The sequence below is a fragment of the Homo sapiens genome, chromosome 1 (genome assembly GCF_000001405.40).
Source record: "Homo sapiens chromosome 1, GRCh38.p14 Primary Assembly".
Taxonomy (NCBI): Eukaryota; Metazoa; Chordata; class Mammalia; order Primates; family Hominidae; genus Homo; species Homo sapiens.
Genome location: NC_000001.11, coordinates 66699040 through 66723296, shown reverse-complemented (window position 1 = coordinate 66723296; position 24257 = coordinate 66699040). Strand labels below are relative to the sequence as shown.

Here is a 24257-nt window from a genome sequence, read left to right as displayed (position 1 = left end):
CCCAATGGATGGTCTGAGAACAAATGGCTTTGATGCAGGATGACAGGGAACTATAGACAAAATCAAATCCAAATGCCTTTGCTGCATCATTTCTCTGTTTGGTACCTTGGCTGGCATTATTTCCACCTGGTGATAGAACTTGAGTTGTTTCCTTGAAAGTGAGTGATAAAGGAAGAGCAATTAAAATGGTTGCTGAAGATGAAATTAAATATATGAGTGTCATTTCATGATTCATTTATAAGTTTCTGATTTCAAAATTTTAATGAAATAAATTGGATCTCCCACCTACCAGCATAGAGGATATCCTACAACTATTTATGGCAATAAAATTAAAAACAGATTCCATATACATCCACAAGTCAAAGACTCAGTTAATTTAGAAGGGTATAGGAAAAACACTAATATTAATTTGGCTCAAGTGCCATGTCATTGGAATGCCAAGGCCGCAGACATCAAGCTTACAGGTGCAGACTACCCTACACGCCTGTCATAGTGTATTGGGAAACTGAACCAGGATGAAAACCCTGGCTTATATTGTGACAGGCCGATGGGACAGGCTGCTGTACCACTTATTGGAATTAAAAAATACGTTAATAACGGCTTCTTAACTCCCACTGCACCATATTTACACCTGTTCTCTGGTGCACTTGGTATTATATTTATGCACAAGTCCTATTTTCCATATGAGCTGTCTTTATCGCCAATATATCTCCTGTCTAGCACAATGGCAGGTACATAGTAGCCATTTTGTAAATATTAGGTGAGTAATTCAATTCAACTTGTTCAGCAAATATGCCTTGTCCTGTTTAGCTGAGGACACAACAGTGAACCAAACAGGCAAAATCCAGCTCTCATGGTATTTACATTCTAGTGGGGGAGAAGACAAATAATGGACAACAACAACATAAAAGATGTTAGAGAGAAGGGCTATGGAGACAGAGAACATGAGGTAAAGAGGAAGAAAATGTTGACGGGGTGGGGAGCGGTGTTGTTATTTTATATAGGATGGACAAAGAAGGTCTCTTTGATAAATTTACTGAAGAATCATGAAGGGAATGAGGGGACAAGTCACTCAGAACCTAGGAGAAGATTTCACGAAGGCAGAAAGTGAAGCAAATGAAAACCCATGAGGTGCAGGTGGGTTGGGGTGATGGAAGAGAGACGCCATGAGGCCATGTGGCTAGAGTGGAGTGAATATGGAGGTGAGGGTTGGAGGCACGGTCAGGGATAAGGAAAGGAGTGATGGAGATGGGATCAGAGACACGGCCACGGGGTGAGGCTGGGGGAGTCTCGAAGGGCAGATCATGGAGGGTCTTGTAAGAGTATTATGAAGCATTTTGTTTTTACTTTGAACAAGATGGGAGGATTTTGAGCAGAAGAGTGACATGATATGTTGAGACTTTGTAGGGGTGCAAAAGCGGAAGAAGGGAGACCAATTAGATCTCTCTGAATAAATTAGTGGATGAATGAATGAAAGCCAATTAGGAAGCAGACAAAGATGAATTCATTCTTGTGTGATCCCCAGCGGTTTTCACTCAGGTATATACATTCACTCCTGACTACTCTTATTTTTCAAAAGGGCAATTCTGGCCAGGCACAGTGGCTCACGCCTGTAATCCTAGCTCTTTGGGAGGCCAAGGTGGGCAGATCATTTGAGCCCAGGAGTTCAAGACCAGCCTGGGCAATATGAAAAAACCCCGTCGCTAAAAAAAATACAAAAATTAGCCGGGTGTGGTGGCATGTGCCTGTAGTCCCAGCTACTCGGGAGGCTGAAGTGGGAGAATTGCCTGAGACTGGGAGGTTGAGGCTGCAGTGAGCTGTGATTGTGCCATTGTGCTTCAGCCTGGGCAAAAAAGTGAGACCCCATCTCAAAAAATAAAATAAAAACATAGAAGGATGTTTCTGTCTGCTTTTCTCAATTCAGGCCAACGTGATTTTCTAAGGTATAAGGTCAGTAGTCAGTGATAAATTTTCTTAGAACTGGAATAACAGAAAATTATGCAAATTCTTTGTCCAAAGAAGATTCTACAGAACAAATACGTATGAATAAAGCATATCTACAGCTAACGCTCATGATGTCTACTTGCCTTAACAGTTCAGACGTATGCTCTATAGGAGGTAGCTTGTGATTTCTATTGATATGGGGATGTGGCAAATGGCCTTTCTGTTTTGAAGATGAAAGAGAAAAGACGTGGAAAATCCAGGGTCCACAGTGCTTGTTTCTCTATAATATTCTGGGCATAGAATGAAACCTAGATGTTGTTTAAAGAGACATGAAGTTGAAAGATCCTAGTGGCTGGCTAGTACACTTAAAGGTGGAGTTACTAATTGTATTAGTTTTCCAGTATAATATTGTTAGATTTCGAGTTTTACGTCTAAAACTAGTGTTTCTGAAGTGTCGAGAGGATTCATGATTAGTTATACCAATTTCCACTTAAAATATATATGGAGATCCAAGTTCTAATTATATTTAATTATCACTGTTTCAAAAAATTTTTATAGTATAGTCTAGTGTTCTATATACACATCGACTTTTTCTTCTCCAGTTTTTAAAATTGTATTTATTTTTCTGAAACAGGGTCTTGCTCTGTCACCCAGGCTGGAGTGCAGTGGTGTGATCATGGCTCACTGCTGCTTCTGCTTCCCAGGTTCAAGCAACCCTCCCACCTCAACTTCCTAAGTAGCTGGGACTGCAGGTGTGCACCACCCGCTCAGCCAATTTTTGTATTTTTTGCAGAGGCAGGCTCTCCCTATGTTGCCAGGGGTGGTCTCGATCTCCTGGCCTCAGCAATCCTCCTGTCTTGGCCTCCCAAAGTGCTGGAATTACAGGTGTGAGCCACCATGCCTAGTCTCCAGTTCTTATTGTCATAAATATTAAGTTTTTCAAAGCCCTAGTCTTTGTAAGTAAAAAAATTAAAAGCAATTCTTTCCTCACTTAGGTTTCCCCTTTATTGATCAAATTCAGGCCTGGAATTATATTAATGACACTATTGAAAATAAGTCTGACTTAGTTGTTTAGTTTTTGGTGTAGATCACTAATCACTTTTAATCTTTTTTTGGATTACAAATCTCTTTGTTAAGTGATAAATGTTATTATAGACTCTTTTTATAGAATAATGCACACATGCACACACATAAAATACACAATATAATTTCAGGGAAACCATTGATTTTCTGAATCCTATCCATGGAATTCCTTAGCAAGAGGCCAAATATTTAATTACATCACATATGCATTCAGACCAAGTCCATTGTCAGTATGTACATGTATAAGTGAAATCAGGCTCATGTAAATAGAAAGTGGTGAATTTTCCCTAGAATTTTTACTTTGCTCTGTTATAATTTTTTCTTTCTCTTTCATTTTTGGCCAGTTTTTCCTTATTTAGTAGGGGTCACAGAAAATTTGTTCCCTTGCTACTTCGTGTGTTTTGAGAAGGTGTTTTTTCTTTCATGTTCTCATCCCAGTGAACCGTTGTTTTAATTTATATGTGGGTGATTCCTGTCCAGGAAAGATTAAGACAATAAAAGACATGATCTGCACATTTACTTTTGTGAGACAATAAATTTCCTCATTGTTGACAGACTGGGTTAGAGTTTTCTGTTACTTGCAACCAAAGCGGAATCAAAGATTTCTAGATTTCTAGAGTAAGTTCTCTAGAACCAAAATGGAATCAAAGATTTCTAGAGTAAATTCTCTTGATACATTTTTTAAAAGCATGAAATCAATATTCCTAATGACATTTTCACCTCTCTCCTAGCTGTGCCATCTACTATTGCTAACTGAATTATTTTTTGCTTTTTAAAAGAAAAAATGAAAAGGTTGTATTTAGGCTGTTCCACACTCAATAGGACAGAACTCAGAAAGTACAATGGACCAAGTATCAGGCTTACTTGCTTGGGTCTGCTCCTTTGAAATAGGCATTGACTGTTTCTGTAAATGCTGCTGCAACAGGGAGAGTGTCCTGAGCTCCCATGGTTAGGGGGCTGGGTCCCCTGGAAGAACCTGCATGAAATGAAAAATTTTCATTTATTATGAAAATAGGAGACACTTTAGTATATGTGAAATTAAAAGCCCATTAAAGGATTAAGGAATAAAATCTACCCCTTAATGTAAAACAAAATGTGCTAAGAACCGTAACTCTGTATATTCAACATAGAGCTCAAGTATTTAAAAGGAAATATTTGGCTGGTTTACAGACAAACACACTTGAAATTAATTCAATTATGTATTTTGCTACAGAGAAGAAAATCCAAGCAGAACAAAGTCACAGGGGTTTTCAAATGTTTCTCATAAAACATAAGGCAGTATTTGCATGACAGTTTGTACAGCAGGTGGTTAATAAAGACAGTTATTAGTTTCCTATTTGAGCATTCATTCCAATCAATTGCCCATACTCAAAACATTTTTCATTTCTTCATTTTGAATAGCAGCCAAGTGGTATCACATTACCCACTTTTTTTTTCTGGATTATTTCCATTTCAAAAAGCCCAGTTACTCTCAGATCAAGTAAGCTCAAGTTTACATGTCCAAAAACATAGACAACCAAACTATACACATCGACTTACCACAACACATAAATGCACTAATTCACACTATTAAAAATAACAGCAGCTCTCATGTCTGTTGAACACCTGCTATATACAGGTGTTCATGCAGACATGGGCAAGGCATGTCTGTATGAACATGGGTGCCTTACATGAATAATCTCATTCAAATTCCACATCAGCCCTGTGGGATAGGTATGATTATTCCCATTTTATAGAAGAGGAAACAGAAGCTCCATGTAAGTGACTTGCCCAAGATAATATAGTTAGTTAAATGGCAAAACAAAAATTCAAACCTAGGTTTATCTCCCTATAAAACTCATGTTTTTCCCACTATACCCATGCAGTGTACTAAATGAAACAGTTTCCTGTATCATTTTGCTGTAACCCGTAGCTTCTGAAAAGTATCAACATTTAAGATTTTTTTTTTGTTATTGATCTCTAGGCATGGTATTGAACAGTGAAGTTTTGGTAATACTCACTGCTTCCCCTTCCTGCCAAACAAAATGCATTTACTCTACCCCACTCCCAGCATAGACTACTTACTTTAGTGTTAGGCTTGTTTTCTTTTGCCTTCAATAACTTTTGTCCTCTTCTCCAAGTCTGAACATAATCTACCATTTGTACACCTCCCTCCTCAATAAAGCTTCCCTTGATCACTCTAGTTCATGCTAGTCTCTTTTTTATCTCCTCTTGGCTTTCAATATCTTGGACTTGGCAATTGACAATTAATTTAACAAACAGTTATCTAATATCTAATATCTACTATGTATCAGGTATTATGGTAGGTGCTGGGGATTCAAAAACACATGGTCGTTGTCCTCAATGAGTTACCATCAGCAGCAGCATTCCGATCATCAGCATTATCAACATTCACTAATCTTAATGACCTCCATTAACATTATTTGTTGCACACTTACTAAGTGTTTTACATATATTGCCTATGTAAATGTATGAAGTGAATGTTGTCTTCATTTTACAGTTTGATGGAACCAAGGCTCAAAGACTTTATACAACTTGTTCAGTCCTGCACAGCTGGTATGCATAAAGTTTAAGATTGGCACTGGGGTATGTATGAGTTCAAAGCTTAGACTCTGAGGACGTTATTATTTTGCCTTCTTAGTAGGCAATTATAGTACCAAGTGGGCAATTACAGTGCCACTGGGTGAGTCTGAAGTTGGAGTGTGCATGGCTAAGTCTTCTCTGCCCACGGAGCTCTAAATTTTAAAAGGAAGGAACAATGGCATTAGCTTCTGTAATGAGACCTTGACAGTACCTAAAACCCAGCCTGGATGATATTGGCCTTTCACTAAATACATGTTGAATTATCCATGGTTGGGTCTCAGAAAAGTAAGGTTTATGCACATTTATAAACCGTAAAGGCACAATAAACACAGGCCATTATTTTGTAATGGTGTTGTTCAGTTTATTTCATCACTCATTAATTCAAATGTTTATTGAGCAACTACCAGCTTCTGGAGAAGAATGGCTTCTCTAACTGTTGAGGCCACAGTGGTAAGAGGGCTGGACTGTTGCCACTCTATCAGGGTCATTGCCACTATGTGATTGAAACTTGGTGTTTGGTGAGGAGGATAGATAAATCTACATTCAAATACAGTGATTTGATAAATTCTTTCAAAGAATGAGCAAAGCTCTATGAAAGCACTTAATGATGCTTGTATAGGTCAGGGAAAGTTTCATTAAGAAGATATTGGAGCTGAGGTCTGAGGATGAAGATAATCTTACTAAGTGTAGAAGGAAGGAGGTCCACCTTCTATGTACGTGTGGAACTGAGCAGACACATTTTAAGAAACCACGGGAAGTGTGGTATTTGTGTGTGTATGTGAGTGTGGTGGGTATTGAAGGGTGACATGTGGAAGCAAATGAGGCTTGGGGAGTTAGCAATTAGGTCATGAAGAGTTTTATATAAATATTTAGGAAAATTTGTCTTTATAGTCATTAAAATCATAATTCCTTTTTGATAATCTAATACAAATCTAAGAATACTTTTCAGAGCAAAGCACACATATATACATCATTTTTATTATTTAAAGTAGAATCATAAATTTCCTGAGGTTCTTGGGGTCCTGGAACTGGGGTTAGAACACCCTGAACGGAAGATGGGAGGCCTCTGAAGTATTTGAAACAATGGACTTGAGTTTAGAGCATGCTAGCTATGTAAATGTATGAAGTAAGTATTGTCTTCATTTTACAGTTTGATAGAACCAAGGCTCAAAGTGTGGTGCATCATTTAATGAAGGAGACAATAATGTAGGTGAGGAGATTTCTTAGGAAAAAAGATAAAAATGATGAGAAAAGCAGATATTGGTATATAAAGGGAATGTCATCATCATAATATTTTTTAATTCTGCAAAGCATTTAATAGTCTTCTATGATAGTCTTGTGAATAAAATAGTAAAATTTGTGTGGATCATAGTCTTGCCAAGTGAATTGACAATTAGATAAATCACAATATCCAATGAGCATGAATCAGTAGCTATACATCCATTGCGAAGGAACTCTCTAGTGGATTATCTCAGAGATTGGTCCCTAGTCTGGGCTCTTTGGTGGCTTGGATGAAACTGAATAAAGTGCTCAGAAATGGCACATGGTAGTGGCTAAGAGCATGGGATTTAGCATCAGACATACCTGGGATTGAGTCCTGTCTCTGACACTTGTTATCTAAATGATCTTTGGCAGGGATGATGTCATGATACCCATTTTGTAGGCCTGTTCTGAGGATAAAATGAGGCAAAGCATTTAGCACCGCGCTTGAACCATAGTAAGCACTCAGTAATGATTAGCTACTTTTATGATGATCATCATGGCAGATTCATTAAAAGTGCTAAAAATTTTCTTATATTTTTGAGGTACTGAACTGGAACTTATAAGAAAAATATCAGCAGAAACAAGTGTAAAGTTCTTATATATCAAGGTTTAAAATTAATGAAACAATTGTGATTTGGTGAAAACTTGCTTGGTAGAAGAATATGTGAAAAAAAGCACCTGGAGGTTTTAGTTGATCATCAATTTTCTATTGTTGAGTTCTAAACATCTTGCCTAGCTTGGGCTATATCAAAGGATGAGTAAGACACATCACTAGAAATGATGGTCGTAGTGCTTTTTGTTTGCTTGTGTGCTTTGTTTTAAAGCTCGCAGATGGCAATTGGAACACACAACCACAAGTCAGAGACCACACTGTTCAGTGTAATGATACACAAGGCCATCTGTGGCATGATCAAGACCCATTTCTCCTTACCCACCTCCCCCACGCCCCCCCAACAACAACATATCCTCTAGCTATGTTAACTTCTGGGCACTATAGTCCTTATTGTAGAACTGACCAATGATGCCAGGGAAGCAGAAACACAGAAAACAACAAACATTTAAAGAACCTTCTTATCTTTAAGGATCCAAAATTTACAACCCTAATTTCTTCACATCCCTATACATTGCAATTGATATGCCATTTTGTGTTTTACTTTTTCCCACTTACAATATTCCTTATTGCTATTTGGTCTACATATCATTTTCCACAACTATTTGTTATTCTACAAACATTATCCAAATGTTGAACCACTTCTAGATAGCAATCTAAATCCATCTTTGTTTAAACTGGTATTGTGTTCCTTTTTTAATTTCCTTAAGATGTAATTTATTCCTACAAAGTAGAATGACCAAATCAAAATGCAGATCAATGTTTAATTGACAAGAATACCAGGTATTTTGCATAAAGATTATACTCAATAAAAATGATATGAGTAATAAATGAATGCTTTCATCCCCCATAGCACCTCAGAGAGTTTTTGTTTAGTAGCATTATTGGAAAACAGGGCTAAAACCAGAAAAGTGTCCAAGATAATGAGAAATTCAAGCCTTATGGCCTAAGAAGACTAAGAGGGGCCTGGAAACTTTTTTCTAATAACTGAAATAATATTAACAGACAGCGACTCTGGAGACCAGAGTTCAAGGCTATAGATCTGCAAGTTAAGAGCTCTGTGGCCTTGGGGAAATCTCTTAACCTTAGGTGTTAAGGTTCTCTCAATCATGAAATGAAGGCAATAGACTGCATAATGTCTGTGTTTTAAGATTCTATGATTTTAAGTTGTCTATAGGCATTTAGAATTTTTACAGTAAGAACAACTTTCTAACAGAAAAATAAACTGCCCTGAAAACAGCATAACCTCACTGGAGATTTGGGTGGCTCTGTCATATTTACTGAGACACTACCATGTACAAGATGGTGAGGGCACAAATATGTAGTCTTTCAGGAAAAAAGACATATGGAAAACTAAATAACAATAATGTATGCCAACAAGAGGTTAGGTAAGACAATAGTTCAAGTGACATCATTATGGGATTATTTCACTGAAAGATTAATTACCAAATGAGTGGTAAAGCAGATGCTATTAGTTGATTTAATAAAGGAAACCTGGACTCTAGAGTCATATAGACTTGGGTGTGAATCCTGGCTCTTTGGCTTACCATCTGTATGTCAAGGGACAATGTATTTAAATCTCTCTGTAATCAGTTTCCTCATCTTAAAATGGTATAAAGATAGTATCAATGTTAAAGGCGCATGGTGAACATCAAGTAGGATAGCATTTGTGAAGTACTTAACATGGTATGTACTTGAAAACATATGACTAATATTATTGTTTTTGTTGCTGTCATTTTTGTCAGGGTGAGCTTTACTGAGGTTGTTGAATTAGAGTTGGTTCTTTGAAGTTGAGTAGGTTTTTAGGCAGAAACAAAGGGAGATACAAAACAAATAGAATTCTTCACTGAGCATGGAGTTAGCGTAGAATTCTTTCAGCTTCCTTCCATCACTAAAATTCTATCATATAATCTGCGCATGTGTGCCTAATTTTTCACATATCACATAGGTGGCTATTATATTGATTTTGGTGGCTTGATAATACTTGTGTCAATAGGAGATAAAGTTGGTTGAATGCATGTTTATTTTATTCAAATAAACAAATTATTTGAATAATCATAATTAATTTATTAAAATATGAGTTCCTGTAATAATTAGACATTGTGCTAGGTGCCGAGGGATACAGAGAAATGTATGAGGCATATCCTTCCCCCTATGGAGTTTATTGTATAAAAGGGGATTATAATATTAACTACAAATGAAACACTACATGAAGTTAGAGAACAGTTTAATATTGTAATTGTTATATTATTGCTGTTAATAATAATTTACAAAGAATTCAATGGAGGCAGTATTTATTGACATGGATTTTATGTCTGTCCTTCAATAACAACAAAAATCAAACACTAATATGGCTTTATGTTCTTTGTACACTGGAGTGTACACAGGTTAGGTATCATTATCTCTAGCCCAAAGTAACTCTGCTGGTAAGTGGTGAAGCTGAAATTCAATCCTAGATTTTCTGGCTCTCTTAATGGTAATTGTAGTAGCAATGAAAATTTCTATCTCTTACTGCATACCAACCACTATTCAAAGGACTTTACTTATATTAATTATTAATCCTGGTAATAAGGTAAGTTTATGAGTGCTATAAGGTAAGTAGCATTCTTGCCCTTGTTTTACAGATGAGAAAATGGAGGTTTCAAGAAATTCAATAGCCTTGCCATTGTCACCTGGCAAGTAAACAATCAAAACAGAACTGTGATGCAAACCAAGCACTGACTGACTCTGGATGCCACCCTCCTCCCTACCTTGCTCAAGGAGCATAGAAGTCAGGAGAGAGTTATCTTAGGAACCTGATAACGTGTTTGTGATACCCCCTAGAAGGATGAGTTGCTGCCATTAGTCTGTGGACCTCCGACAAAAAAGCATCTCCAGAGTACTGGGAAGCAATTGACATGCACACTTTGAGGGGGTTCTGAGGAATGGAAGAGGGCACAGAGAGTCACCAGTGTGTGACTGTGTGTTTTCTGAAAGGCGGTTTTCTGTGACTCTCATTACCAAGCAAGGTCACACAGATGTACACATGTAGACAGCCTGAGACTAAAAATAATTTAAATTCTTAACAGAAGTATGACATCTGACATCTTTAAAAGATGAGGTCCTTAATTTATGAAAGCATTTCATGGGAAGACAAATGAAAAATGAACGTGGGGAAGGAGAACAGACTGTATATGTAAGTGTTTAAAGAAGAGAAAGAGACTTTTTAGAAGAGAAAGAAAAAATTAGAAAAAAAAGAGGAAAGAGAAAAAAAGCAAAATGCACAGGTACAGAAATTGAATACAAGTATAAGAAGGTTTCCTTTATAAATAAAGGAGTGTTTACCTCCTGAGTTTAATCAGGTTGCCTCCTATGCACTTCCGCCAATCATGTGCAGTGAGCAAGCCTGCGTTCGGGCAGGCCAGTCTCCCCTTCCTGTGCACTTTCTCCATTTTCCGTATAATCTCTTCCACTTTGCAATGTTGAAGTTTAGCACTTTCTGTCATCAAAGCCAGCTCATGAAGACAACGTATTTTCAGTGGTTTTTACATTTAATGTGAATTTATGTCAAACTAGTGGCTCCCTCAGGGGTGTTGTGGCATTTGTCACAAAATTAACAATAAATGGTAGTATCTATTATGTAATGTGTTCAAATTCTGTGCAATGATTCACATGTGTTATCTCCCTTAATTTGCACCACCATCTCACCAAGTAAGTGCTATTTTAAACGTCTCTTTCTTACAGATGGGGAAAGCTAGAGTGCTTAAGTAACCTGCTTAAATTCAGATAACAAAAATCTGCAATAAGGAGTCTAGGAGGGTGTCAGAGGGTGTAGGCTTCAGTCTTGACTGTGCTTCTTCAATATTTGACCTGAGCTGGTCAATGATTCTAGCTTCACCTCTGCTAAATTAGGACAATAATACCAGTGCTCTCAATCTTATCCAAGGAAGGATCTGCACCACTAATGCCAGATGCCATAAGAACTGCATATTTTACCTTCTCTTCATCTGAGGTTGGAAACAGTCACCCTGAAAACACAATCTGAAGCATGGGCAGCAGGAGAGAGTGGTCTGATTTGTTTAAAGACTGTCCCCATTTTGCAGGCTATCAGGCCAAACAACTGCCCACCCTACCAGATCTGCTGCAGGCAGGAGGCAAATGACCCTTATGCCCAGGGATGACAATGCAGGGATATAACCAACAGATGGAGACATCAGAAAGTCTCAGAGTGCATAGAAGACAGACGACGCTCCAGAAGATGTATGAAGCAGCAAAGAGTGAAAATTAGACTAGCTTTTTCTTTAAAAGCTGATTATATTAGTTAGAATTAGGAAAAGATAAATGAGACCCAATTCTACAGTAATTTATAGAATATGTTATACATAATGCAGTGACAAAGGGAAAGAATGTTGGAAAGAGATTGAATTAATTTTGAATCTGGGTTTTACCCTTACCCTGTGACCCTGAAAAATTATCTGACCTCTCTGAGTTTCAGCTTCATCATGTTGTATAATGAAGATAGTACCTTTTACAGACATTGGGAGGATTAAATATGATGATATAGGATGTTCTATGTTCTTGTTATTTGAGGATAGTCAATAACAGAGAAATCATTTAACAATTAAGGTACTTTAAATGGATACTAAAATTTCATAGTACATAATGATAGAAGGGTTTGATTAAGATTCTAAGCTGTCATAAACTAAAGTTGTGAAAGGATATTTTATTAACAAAGTTTAAGCTACATTAATAATTGAGTTCTTGGAATGAATAAAAATAGTTTGTGTTGATATTTTTGGGAAGGGTATATTTTTCTGATAAAATTATGTTAATAGCTTTACACACCACCCAAGATTTAGGTTTGGCTTTGATTCAAGATCATAAATGGAGCCATTATTGCAGAATTAATTGAGAGTTTTATACATTATTCCGAGGGTCTCTTAGTTTCTTGTCTTTCTTTTGAAGTGGCTCTGATGTAAGCTTATGTTTTTCCCTCTTCTTTAGTAATTAATAATTTTAATTTCTGTTAAATTCTAAACTGACAATGACTTTAGGTGTGATGAAAAGCTTTACATCATCAGTTTCACTGACTTCATGGAATCCTATATCCTTCCTAAGACTGGCAATTTCACTTGCAATAAATATGCACTGTATTTGCATGGTATATCCATTGTTTATATGACCAGATGTTTATGGGAAAATTTATTGGGTTCTGCATTCATGTAATGGGTGGGGATGGACACTAGTGTTAATTTGGGAAAAAGTGTATCAGAATGAGGACTAAGGTTATAAGTAAATACTTTCATGTTGCTGTGGTCTCTGCTTGTCTTCAGAATCCAGTAACTGCAAGGTGACCAATAGTGAACACTGGGACAAAGAGTTTCATTAGTTTATGTAAATTACAGTACCTGACACACAGTAAAAACTCGATAACTTGGCAGCCATTATCATTAGCAGTGAAGAAGAATTTGCCTTACAGTCGTGTCATGTAACATACAGTTTCAGGCTCTCCTCAGCACCAGATGCATTTAGTAAATGAGGAAATAATAAAAAGAAATGTAGAAATTCTTTCTATATAGTTCAGTAGAAAGAACTGTATCATGAGAGCTTAACTTGAAAAGGTAAGTGTGCTCCTGTGACATTGTGAATCTTAGCTGAAGTGATGATTAATAAAGTTACTTTTTATGATAGCAAAAACTTTTCAAAAATGTTTAGAATAGGTTTGGGAGAAAAGAAGTCAAAATAAAGTTACTACATATAAATTTTTAATTTTTTCCCTTTTCTCTAAATCTTGGAATATTATGATTGTAGTTGGCTTAGATTATATAAAATATTATATAAAATATATCTTATATGTGTGTAAATTGTGTGTGTGCATGCTGCATATAAAAATGTATCTCTATGTAATGTTTTCTTGAGTGTTTTGATAGTCTTATACTATCACCTAATCTAATTAATAATAATGCTACGATGAGAACTAAAAGAACATATACTTTCTGAATTCTGGGGACTGTGCTAAGTGTTCCACATGCATTCCCTTATTAAATCCTCACACTTTTAAGAAAGATGTATTGTTATCCCCATTTTACAGCTGACAAACTGAAGCTTAAAAAAGTCAAGAAGCTTCTGTTAAGTGCTGCCTTGGCTTCTCCTGTCCTGAGGTAAGTAGCACCAATTGACCTGCTGAGTGAGAATACAGAGGAAAAAGGGCAAACCTCAAAAGGGGAGGAACAATATTATTGAGTACTTGCTATGAGCTAGGTACTGTCTTTTATGCTTTACACATAATGCATCATTTAATTATGACTACAACCATGTGTCCAGATAGGCATTACTACATATTATAGATCAAGAAACTGAGTCTGAGAGGAGAGAACCGTTTACCCATGTTTTTGCAGCCAGTAAATGGTGGAGTCAGAATTCAAATCTAGATTCACTTGACTCCACACTTTTCCATATAAGAGCCCCATAGGCCTCGTCCTTACCCATGGTAGCACTGGGTGAGTTATCCTTGCTACATGCTTTTCAGAGTGCTACATGTTCTCCTTCATGAAAATGAGGAAAGTGTACTTAAGAAAGTCAGTTCTCCAATGAGAACACATGGACACAGGCAGGGGAACATCACACACTGGGGCCTGTCGGGGGTGGGGGGCTGGGGGAGGGATAACATTACAAGAAATACCTAATGTAGATGATGGGTTGATGGGTACAGCAAACCACCATGGCACATGTATACCTATGTAACAAACATGCACGTTCTGCGCATGTATCCCAGAACTCTGCGCATGTATCCCAGAACTTAAAGTATAACAGTAAAGAAAACAAAACAAACAAAAACAAACAGAAAAAAAAATTCGAATGATTGATAAACATGCATGGATGCCCAAAATAAATACATAAATAAATAAGAAAGTCAGTTCTCATAGCGTAGAACTGAGAGTACTGGATTTCTGAGTATGTAAATAGGATTAGAGTTATTTCCAGTCTTCCTCTTCATAAGTCTCTGCTCACTTGCCCTGGTTATATATGTATGTCATGTGCATATATATTTTTTTTGCTTTTCAAATTCTGCTCAGTCCAGGAACATACAATCAATTGACATTTTTCTTCATGTTTTGTAGAGAATTTTTCTTCAACCTGGGTCTTTGCCTAGAGCACCTAAACTGTCATCCAAAATTAATGCCCAATTGAATTAACTTCCTAAAATGTTTGACTCAGAAGATGAGAATATTATACTTGCTTTTTATTATCCAAGTCAGAACACATGTATTCAACAAAAATACTATTGTTAAATATGAACATAAGACAGAAGACAAAGTCATAATACAAATGAAAGAAAAGTGAATGTACACTTGCTCAAATTGATTTCCTCAGTCTAAAAACTTAGGATTTTCTTTGTCTTAGTATGAAGACTCATACAGCCAAATTTTAAACACTTTCACATAGACAGTGGTGAGAGTTTGATCAAGCATTGGAAACAGGCAGCTATAGCATGGCACTATGAAGAATATGAATAAATATATCAAAAGCTAATTTATGTAAAGCACTTGTATACGATGGCCGCTGTGCTAAACACATTACATGCCTCATGTCTTCTAATCTCAAAACATCTCTCTGAGGTACACTCTTTTAAATTAAACCTTAGTGAAATTAAATAACTTGCTCAAGGTAATTTGCTCTATAGTAAGTAGGGGAGCTGGGACTGAAAACCAGGTCTAACTTCCATTGTATTCTTAAACCCTACCCTGTGTTAAAGATGTTTGCCCCTACATCCTAGGAAGTTGTGATCCGAGATCTAGCTGCAGGCATGGCATGCATTCTCAAAGCAGAAGTATCACCCCAAAGGGGATAAAAATTGGTTCTTTGGGGAAGGTGAAAGAAATCTTACTTGTTAAATATATAAAGCACACAAATATACATATAGCACATGACCAGATGTACAGTACCTCTATGATATTAGAATTCGACTTGGGGAGCAATTAGGGAAAAACAAGGTCTAACAGAGGCTCTCTGGGCAAGGAAAGAGGGATAATGAAAAAAAAGTTTGAGAAGCACTAATCTACAGGCTTAAAAGGGCCAAAGATGTGAATGCCCCTGGACAACTCATCAACTCTCTTGGAAAATTAACAGTCATCTACCAGACTATGCAACTGCTGGTGGGAGAAACTGTCACATTCTTTGGAATCTAAGATACAGAATTTTGAAAGATGAAACAAGTAGGTTATGACTGACATGCATCCTAAAGGAACACTCAGGTGCTATAACTGTATCTGTCAAAAATTTCTTGTTGACTTTCAAGGAAATTATTTACTTTGCAATAATTTATAAGTAAATTCTGGAAAGCTAATGCAGATAAAATTCTGGAATTTTTGATGTGTCACAAAATTAAACTATCAATGCAAAGAGTATAAAGAGGTCAAGGTTATAAATATGTGGTATAGAAAAATCATCATGCCACTATGATATTAATTGTAACTGCTGATGGCCAGAAGTGATTCAGATGTGTCTGCAGATTCTGAATATGAAATAGATTTAGGCTCAGTTTCTGATGGTTATACTGAAGATAGTGGCCAGCACTTTGTCTATTATTATTGGTTAGAAAAAAAAATGCTTTTCTACACTTGACAAAGTTTATTTCGTGCCCAAAAAGTTGTGAAAACAATGGAGCATAACCCAGTGTATGGCTTCTTGGGATCAAGTAAATGCAGCACACATATTTGTGTGTGTATGTGTGCCCATGCGTGTGTGTGTAGATACATGCAGACAGGGTTTCATCAAGAATTTTCACCAAAACATCAAAAATGTTATTTCTACTACTCTCTGAATAGTGTGATTTTGGGGTGATATTTACTCTTTTATTTATACTTTCCCATATTTGAATTTTTAAAAGTAATAATATGCTTAAATTAATGTCATGATCACAATAAAGCCAACTGTGAGCTATTTGTAAATACTTTGAAGTGTCAAAGGGAATATTAGCGTATGTTAAAATAAAAGGATGCATAATTATACACTGTGTGATAATATAAACTATACATGCACACACGCAGACTCACATTCACATGCAAAATCTCAGAACTGAAAAACATCAAAATGATAATAGTGGTCATCTACAGCTATTTGATTATAGATCTTTTTAAAAATACCTTTCTGTTTTTCCAAGTTTTCTATAATGTGTATGTGTTACTTTCATACTGAGGAAAAAATATAAGTACATATTGATAATTACTTTGGAATTTTAAATATTGAGATTTCTACATTTTTCCTTTTTCTTTTTTCTTTTGTCATCTTTACATTTATTTATTAAAGAGAAAAGATAATATTTAGATTAAAATATCAACTGTCATAAATATTTATTAAAATATTTATAATTTATATTATATATAAATGTGTATCTCTATATAAATTATATCATATATATTTATTTTATATATAACTATTTTATATTATAAATATATAAATATATTTTATAGTATAAATATTTATTTATATTTTACATATTATATAATATATAGTTTATATTTTATGTATAATATAAAATATATTCAAAATTAAAAATATTTGATGAAAATGTGAGATAAAGGTAATAAAGATGAGTGACCAAATTAAAATAAATGGTTTGATAGCAAGAAGCAAATTATAACAAAAACATTTCAGATTTTACCAAAAACAGTAATTCATTAAAAAGAAATAAATTGTGAACCAAAGTAATGAAGAAGTTTTTTTGTTTTGTTTTGTTTTTGTTTTAATATAACTGGAATTCAGAAACATTTTGTTATTTATTTATTTATTTTTAAATTTTACTCTAAGTTCCGGGATACATGTACAGAATGTGTAGGTTTGTTACATAGGTAAACATGTGCCATGGTGGTTTGCTGCACCCGTCAACCCGTCACCCAGTTTTTAAGCCCCACATGCATTAGGTATTTGTTCTAATGCTCTCCCTCTCCTTGCCTCCCAACTCCCGACAGGCCCCAGTGTGTGTTGTTCCCCTCCCTGTGTCCATGTGTTCTCATTGTTCAACTCCTACTTATGAGTGAGAACCCATAAGTGTTCTTTCCTTGAATGGTTTATTTCTTTTCTTGAAGTGTTTATTTCTTGAATGGTTCCTTGCAGTTACAAATTGGATGCTGGTAATTTTGAGCACTACTGAAAGTTATTCTCCCAATGGGACTGATAAATATGATTGGAGAAGTAGGAAGAATGCAGTCTGCCATTGTTTGCCTGCCTGAAAGCCTGCTATTTGAGCTGCTAGTTTCATAGCAAATGGGCTGTGTGTAAAGTCCAAAAAAAGGCAAAAACCTAAGGAAAGGAGTAACTGACATTAAATAACTCATGCTTCCTCTCCCTAGATTCATTTGCCACAGTGATGATTGCAACTTTTCCGAAACATCCTTGAACAATTAATATTACCCTTGGGACACTTCTCCAGAAAAACCTCTTATGTTTTCTCAGGGCATATTTCAATTCTCTGAATCAGATCTTAGGGGAAGTCATGCTGTTATTACTCTGAATAGAAGACTAAGAAACACAGTTGTAAACACACACAGCACACGCTGCCTGTGTGAATATGCGTCAGCAAGAAAAGAAGCCCCAAGGCCATATTTACTTGTGTCCTGGTGACTTGGTACGGCAAAGTCAGCAGAAGAGAACACAAAGTCCATGAAATTTTTTTGTCTGCTGACAGTCCACGCTGTAGCAGAAATGATTACACACACAGTGCAGAATAGTTGAAGACATAAAAAGGTTCAAATCTTAAGGACAGTGACTTATGTTAATGCCTTATGTTAATGTCTCTCAGCCAATCTTTGATTTAATAAATGAAGCAATTAATATAAAATTCTTAGCACATGTCTAGCACATATTAAATATTCATTAATACTAACTATTATCTTAGGAAATGATTACTTTTGAATAGTACTTTATAGTTTGCAAAAGCCTTTCACAAGTAATTGTCTAAAATTTGTTTGGAGTATATGTGGTGCTGATTAAATATATCCACAGCAGACACATAAAAAGGATTATAAGTGGGAGATTCTCCTGAGTCTTAATAAAATCTCTTTGAATCACTAGTATACTTTCTTCATTCATTTATGTCAGAGGTTAATAAGAACAGTATTTTGAAATAGGGTAGGCAGCCAAAGTCTGTGGACAGCTCTTCTCAAAAGACATAATAGAAACAAACGCTATAGAGGTCATCAGCCAGCGATTGCATGTTGAAGGCTCAGAACCATCCAAAGATGAAGCAGTTTCCCCCTGGAATTCTCAGCTTCTCCATTCTTTTCTCAGGAAGTTTGAAATTATATGTCAAATTGGCAGAAATGCTATGATTTACAAATCCTTTAATAAAAGAGAGGATAAAAGATTTTCTGCCACATCTCCCATCAGTGTTGACACAGAACCCCCAGGAGTACACTGGCAGGCAGACCATTAGTCTCAACAAGTCAGCTTTAATAATGGGCTCTGGTAGAGGCAAAGGGTGTACAGCAACGCAGTGGCATGATGCTTCCAAATCATTGTCTTGCTCCGTACCAGCAGAGAAAACACTGCTTATCATCCCTGCTGACAAGGAAGGGAGACCATGTAGCAACTCTCAGCAGAATCAAATTGTCAGATTTTTATGTGGAAGAAGACAAGAATGCCACAACTGAAACTTCTCCAAAGCAGGCAAGAACTAAGTAAAACACAGCCATGTTACAAGCAGAGGATGCATGAAGTTGGACAACAGTTGCTTATATTTGAGTGCTTTGCATGCACTATACTAAGTGTTTGACTTTAATCTTGACCACAGCCCTGTGAAAGAGCTGCCATTATTATTCCAGTTTTCAGAGGAGGAAACTAAGTCTTAGGTTAGGTAACCTGCCTAAAGTCACACATTGTGCTGAGGTTATAACTAAGATCTAGAAGGCTTATTCCAGAGCTCATGCATAAACGCATACACACACACACACACACACACAGAGTTCTTTTTCTCTTTATATATGTGATATGAAATATCTATGATATGCCATATATCATTCATATTCCATATTTCATATATATCATATACAAAAACATTATATATCATATATGAAAACCTATGATATATATCATACTGTAGGTTATGATCATATATAATATATATGATATAGATCATATATAAATGTGATATAGCTGATATACAATATATAGTATGTATGCTATATCAGTATGTCAACATATCACACATATGATATAGAATATATGTGTGATACATATCATATCATATATATGATATATATATTCCATATCTTTTTCTCTATTATCTCTATATGTGTGTGTGTGTGTGTGTGCATATGTATGTATATGTGTACTGAGAGCAAATGGATATGCATTAATTGAGGAATCTTTCTAATACTAGGATAATACCAAGCATACCTTAGGTTAACATTTACATATCACCTAAGATTTTCTATTAGACTCTAACATAGCAACATGTTATATTGCTTCAGGGTAGAGTCTATGTAGGTATAAATGTTGCTCCCGTTTCTTCCATCACCCTACTAGAACATTTTTGCAATTCTACCATTGCCTTTGCTACAGGATGCTTTGCATAGGAAGTGCCGAACTCTTCTCTTTCTTCTATTCTTCTATTTCTTGTGAATTACTGGAAGGCAGGAGTTTTATTATTTCACCTCCATAATTCCAGCACAAGGGCTTGTAGCTAGAAGAGCTCATGGACTGGTTGTGAAGCACTGAATGCAAAAATAAATGAGTGAATATTCTTTAACTTTTCTATTCTGTTACTCATTTTCCTGCTCCAGGGAACTATTTAACTTATGCTTCAGGTTTTAAAATTGTCCACGCATAGCAACCCTTCTTTTTGTGGGGCTCAAGACTTTCCGCTGTTCTTGTTAGTTCCCCATTTGGTTACTCCAGTCAGATGAGAAGTCCTGTTCTAGAATCTACTTTTGCACCCAGGGAAGTGCAGCTGACACTCAGGGTTCCATTCCTCTCTGGGGAGTGAAAGGCTTCAATCTTGAGCAAAGCAAATGTTGCCCAATGTTTATCTATTTTAAACCTATTGGCCTTTGTATGACAGACATATTCAGAAACAACTGTGTGTTTTGGACCATTATGGCCATAAGAGGAAGAAACTACATTATCAGTGAGTCTGATAGAGATACAAGAAGCTTCTAAGTATAGTCACCACCAGACACCCAAGAGGCCACTTTAGAGACCAGGAAGTTACCAGAAATGAGAAACAAATGCATCTTGGATGCAATACCTTCTTGGTCTCTTCCTTTCATTCTTCTTTAATTTGAATGCAACTTCAAAGCATGGATAATTTAAAACCTTTCATATGTATAGTACTTTATTAAACAAAAACAATGCATCTTATCAATTTTCCTAATTATCCTGCCAGGTGGGTATTATGCTTTCCATTTTAAAAATGATAGAACAGAGACCCAGAGACATTAAATGCTCAAGATCACGTGGTTATTGAGTGGCACAACCAAGACTTGAGTAGCATAGTGGTTAGGAACATCAGTTTTGTGACATAATAGTAACTCCCTTTCAACGTATTTAACCATTGACTAGCTGTGTTATCAATAACTCCCCTCTAACTGATTTAACCACCAACTAGCTGTGTAATCTCAGAAAAGTTACCTAAATGCTCAGAGCCTTTGTTTACTCATCTGTAAAATGTGATTAACAATAGTACCCACTTCCTAGGACTGTTGTGTGAATGACATGAGCTTGTGCATGTGGAGTAGCTAGCTCAGAATGTAGCCCGTATTAAGGGCTCATCAGCGATACACTGCATCAGCATTACTGGTAAAAACAGCAGCACCCCAGATATGCTGAATCCAAGCAAAATGATATTTTCACCAACTAGGTACTCCTTGCATGGTGACATGCTTGGAATAGAAGGTAACACACCTGCTCTCCAGCTTTCCCATCAGTAGAATTCTAACATGAATTCTGTACATTTATGTCCTCTCTAGAAGCCTATTCCTTCCATTTTGGCCTAGACCTCAGGCCAGAAACAGGGGACACTTTGCTGGCTTTCTGTTCTAACATCAGCATGACAGTTGTACACTAATCATGAATGAGACAGGACAACTGTCTCAAAGAGCAGGAAACCAAGTATGATCATCATGCTGGTCAATGTCAAAATTTTCAGAACCAGGGAACTAATTTATTATGAAGAGGTAAAGTGTACTACTGAAATCCTCGGCAGAACTGCCTGATAGAAGATTTTGCAGGTTCAGCTCCACTTTAATCTTCTTAACAGGTTGAGGCTATTAAAAAAAACTCTCTGTGACCTTCAGTTATTTTAATAGAATGAATTTTTCATTTTAGATAGACAATACAGTCCATATATAAAAACTCAGAATAGCTAAGGAGCGTGGTTTTAATATTTCTAATGAAGACAGTCTTGTAAAACTGCTTTTAATGTTTCTGTATTGTTTCCCCAACCTGGTACTTAATGCTGTGATTTGCAGAGTGGGTACTTAATAATTTTCCTGTTATTGATTGAAAGGGGCCTTCAGTGGGGTAAGTGCTATTAGCAAACACCTCCCACTTAAGAATAATGTGAATTTAGCATAGCCATTGCTCCCCAGAAAATTGGTCATATCTTCCAATTTTCCTTCCTTTAGTGTCTCTCAAATGAATGAATTAGTATCTTTGTGGCTGCATGTGAGAAATTTGACCAGTTCATTTCTTACTTTATTGCTATGTCAGGGTAAGGAAAGTCGAATGCTCTATGACTATAATTGTGACTTGCCAATGACTAAGTAGGGGTATTTAATAACCTGCTTAAGAAGGTCAGACATTTAAAATGCCCAAGCGTTTATTTTTTTCACAGAGATAATATAACTCCAAAAAGAAAAAATGTAGCTCCTATTATGTAAATGATTAAGGTCCTTTCAGAAACGTATTTTTCCTCTCTGGGGTCTCATCTGGATAATGAAAAGAACTTGAATATCTCCACCTGGATTAGTGGACTGAGAACAGGAAGAACGTGAGGACAGAGGTCTCAGTGGGGTCAAAGGCTGGTTAATAGGTACAAAATTACAACTAGATAGGAGGACTAAATGTTAGTATTCTATAGCACTGTATGGTAAATAGGGAAAACAATAATTTATTGTATATTTCCAAAAAGAGGATTTTGAATGTTCACAACCCAAAAAAATGATAAATATTTGAGATGATGGATATGCTAATTACTCTGATTTGATTATTATACATAGTACACATGTATTGAAATATTATTTGGTATCCTATAAATAGGACAATTATTAGCTGTCATCTAAAAATAAAAGGGAAAAATAAGGTGTAGTATCAGGAAATTAGAGAGCTGGAAGGCTAGAAGATTAGGGCAAAACCTTTGTTGCAAGGACTGAATGAGATTAGGTATGTACAGTAGGGTGAGGTAGTGACCTCTGGCTAGGTGGCCAGAGTTTGAATCATTACTCTGTTTTTTTTTTTTTTTTTTTGAGATGGAGTCTCACCCTGTCACCCAGGCTGGAGTGCAGTGGTGCAATCTTGGCTCACTGCAACCTCCACCTCCCAGGTTCAAACAGTTCTCCTGCCTCAGCCTCCCAAGTAGCTGGGATTACAGGCACGTGCCACCATGCCCTGCTAATTTTTGTATTGTTAGTAGAGGCGGGGTTTCGGCATGTTGGCTGTGCTGGTCTTGAACTCCTGACCACAGGTGATCCACTCGCCTCGGCCTCCCAAAGTGCTGGAATTACAGGCGTGAGCCACTGCGCTCCACCACTCTGTCTCTTTTGACTGTGTGACCCTGTGAAAGTTACTTACATTATCTGAATCTCAGTTTCTGCATCAGTGAGTTGTGCAGGTGAAATAAGATAATAGATGGAGGCTGCTTTACACATGGTAAATACTCAGATGTTAGTTACTCATATTCATTATTATTTTTATTTTATTTTTCATTTTTCAACCTCAAATTCCCCAATTTAAAACTGCAACCCTCACTATGCTCCATTCTCCTTTCCTATTTTATTTTTCCTATAGAACTCATTACAATATTCATACTATATATATTTTACTTATTTATCTTTTTAACTTTCCACAGTAGAACATAACCTCTGTGGGGACAGGTATTTTTTCTGTTTTGTTCACTAGTAAGGAGTGCCCAGGACAGTGCTAGTACACAGCAGGCAGTCACTTAATATTTGTTGAATGAAAGAATATTGCTTCATAAAGTCCCTGGTGTACAAAAAGGGTGACAAATTCTTAATGATGAAACAGCTGAAATGAGACTTGCCAGGGGAATGACTTCCAGGATGTGGCCAGAGGTGTGGAGTACCGAGTAAAGTGGAGAGAAAGCTTCTTGGAGCAAAAATCAAGAGGCCCTGGAGCCAGCATGTGAGACAGGTCACACACGTACACTCTATGTCACAGGATGATGCTGGGAAGTGAGGTGGCACAGAGGATGACACGCAAGCTGCCAGCACCTCTAAGATAAATGCAGAGGACTGCTCTGCAGTCAACTGTTAACAGCAATAAGGAGTGGAAGAGGGTGGAATTATCAGACGGCTGCTCTCACAATCAGGAAGGCTTTGGAAGCAGCAATAGGGAGCTAAGAGAATCCAAACACTGCCTCCTAGTCCCATGATGAACGATCCACAGAAGACTGAAGAGAGGTCTCCATAGAGAGTGCTATGGAAGTGATGGCTCCTAAGAGTCAGGATTTCGTCAGGAAACACGTGGGCAAGTTCAGCTGAGAGACTGAAATGTAGAAAAGGGTACTGCTAGGGATGTGGCATTCCTGGTGGGAATGATGGGAAAAGACGAGTAAACA

The 24257-nt window shown here is 36.6% G+C and overlaps 1 protein-coding gene across 52 annotated transcripts in view; it reads right to left on the bottom strand.

The window, feature by feature from the left end:
• Positions 1-24257, bottom strand: part of SGIP1 (SH3GL interacting endocytic adaptor 1) — a 217779-nt gene that overhangs the window by 27843 nt on the left and 165679 nt on the right. For all 52 annotated transcript variants that reach the window (XR_007064415.1, NM_001376535.1, NM_001376549.1 and 49 more), the window contains one exon: positions 3892-4003. Coding sequence is in view for 51 of the 52 variants with exons in the window: in NM_001376535.1 (NP_001363464.1) it covers positions 3892-4003 (112 nt within the window). In the remaining variant the exon portion in view is untranslated. The remainder of the gene's footprint in view (positions 1-3891; positions 4004-24257) is intronic.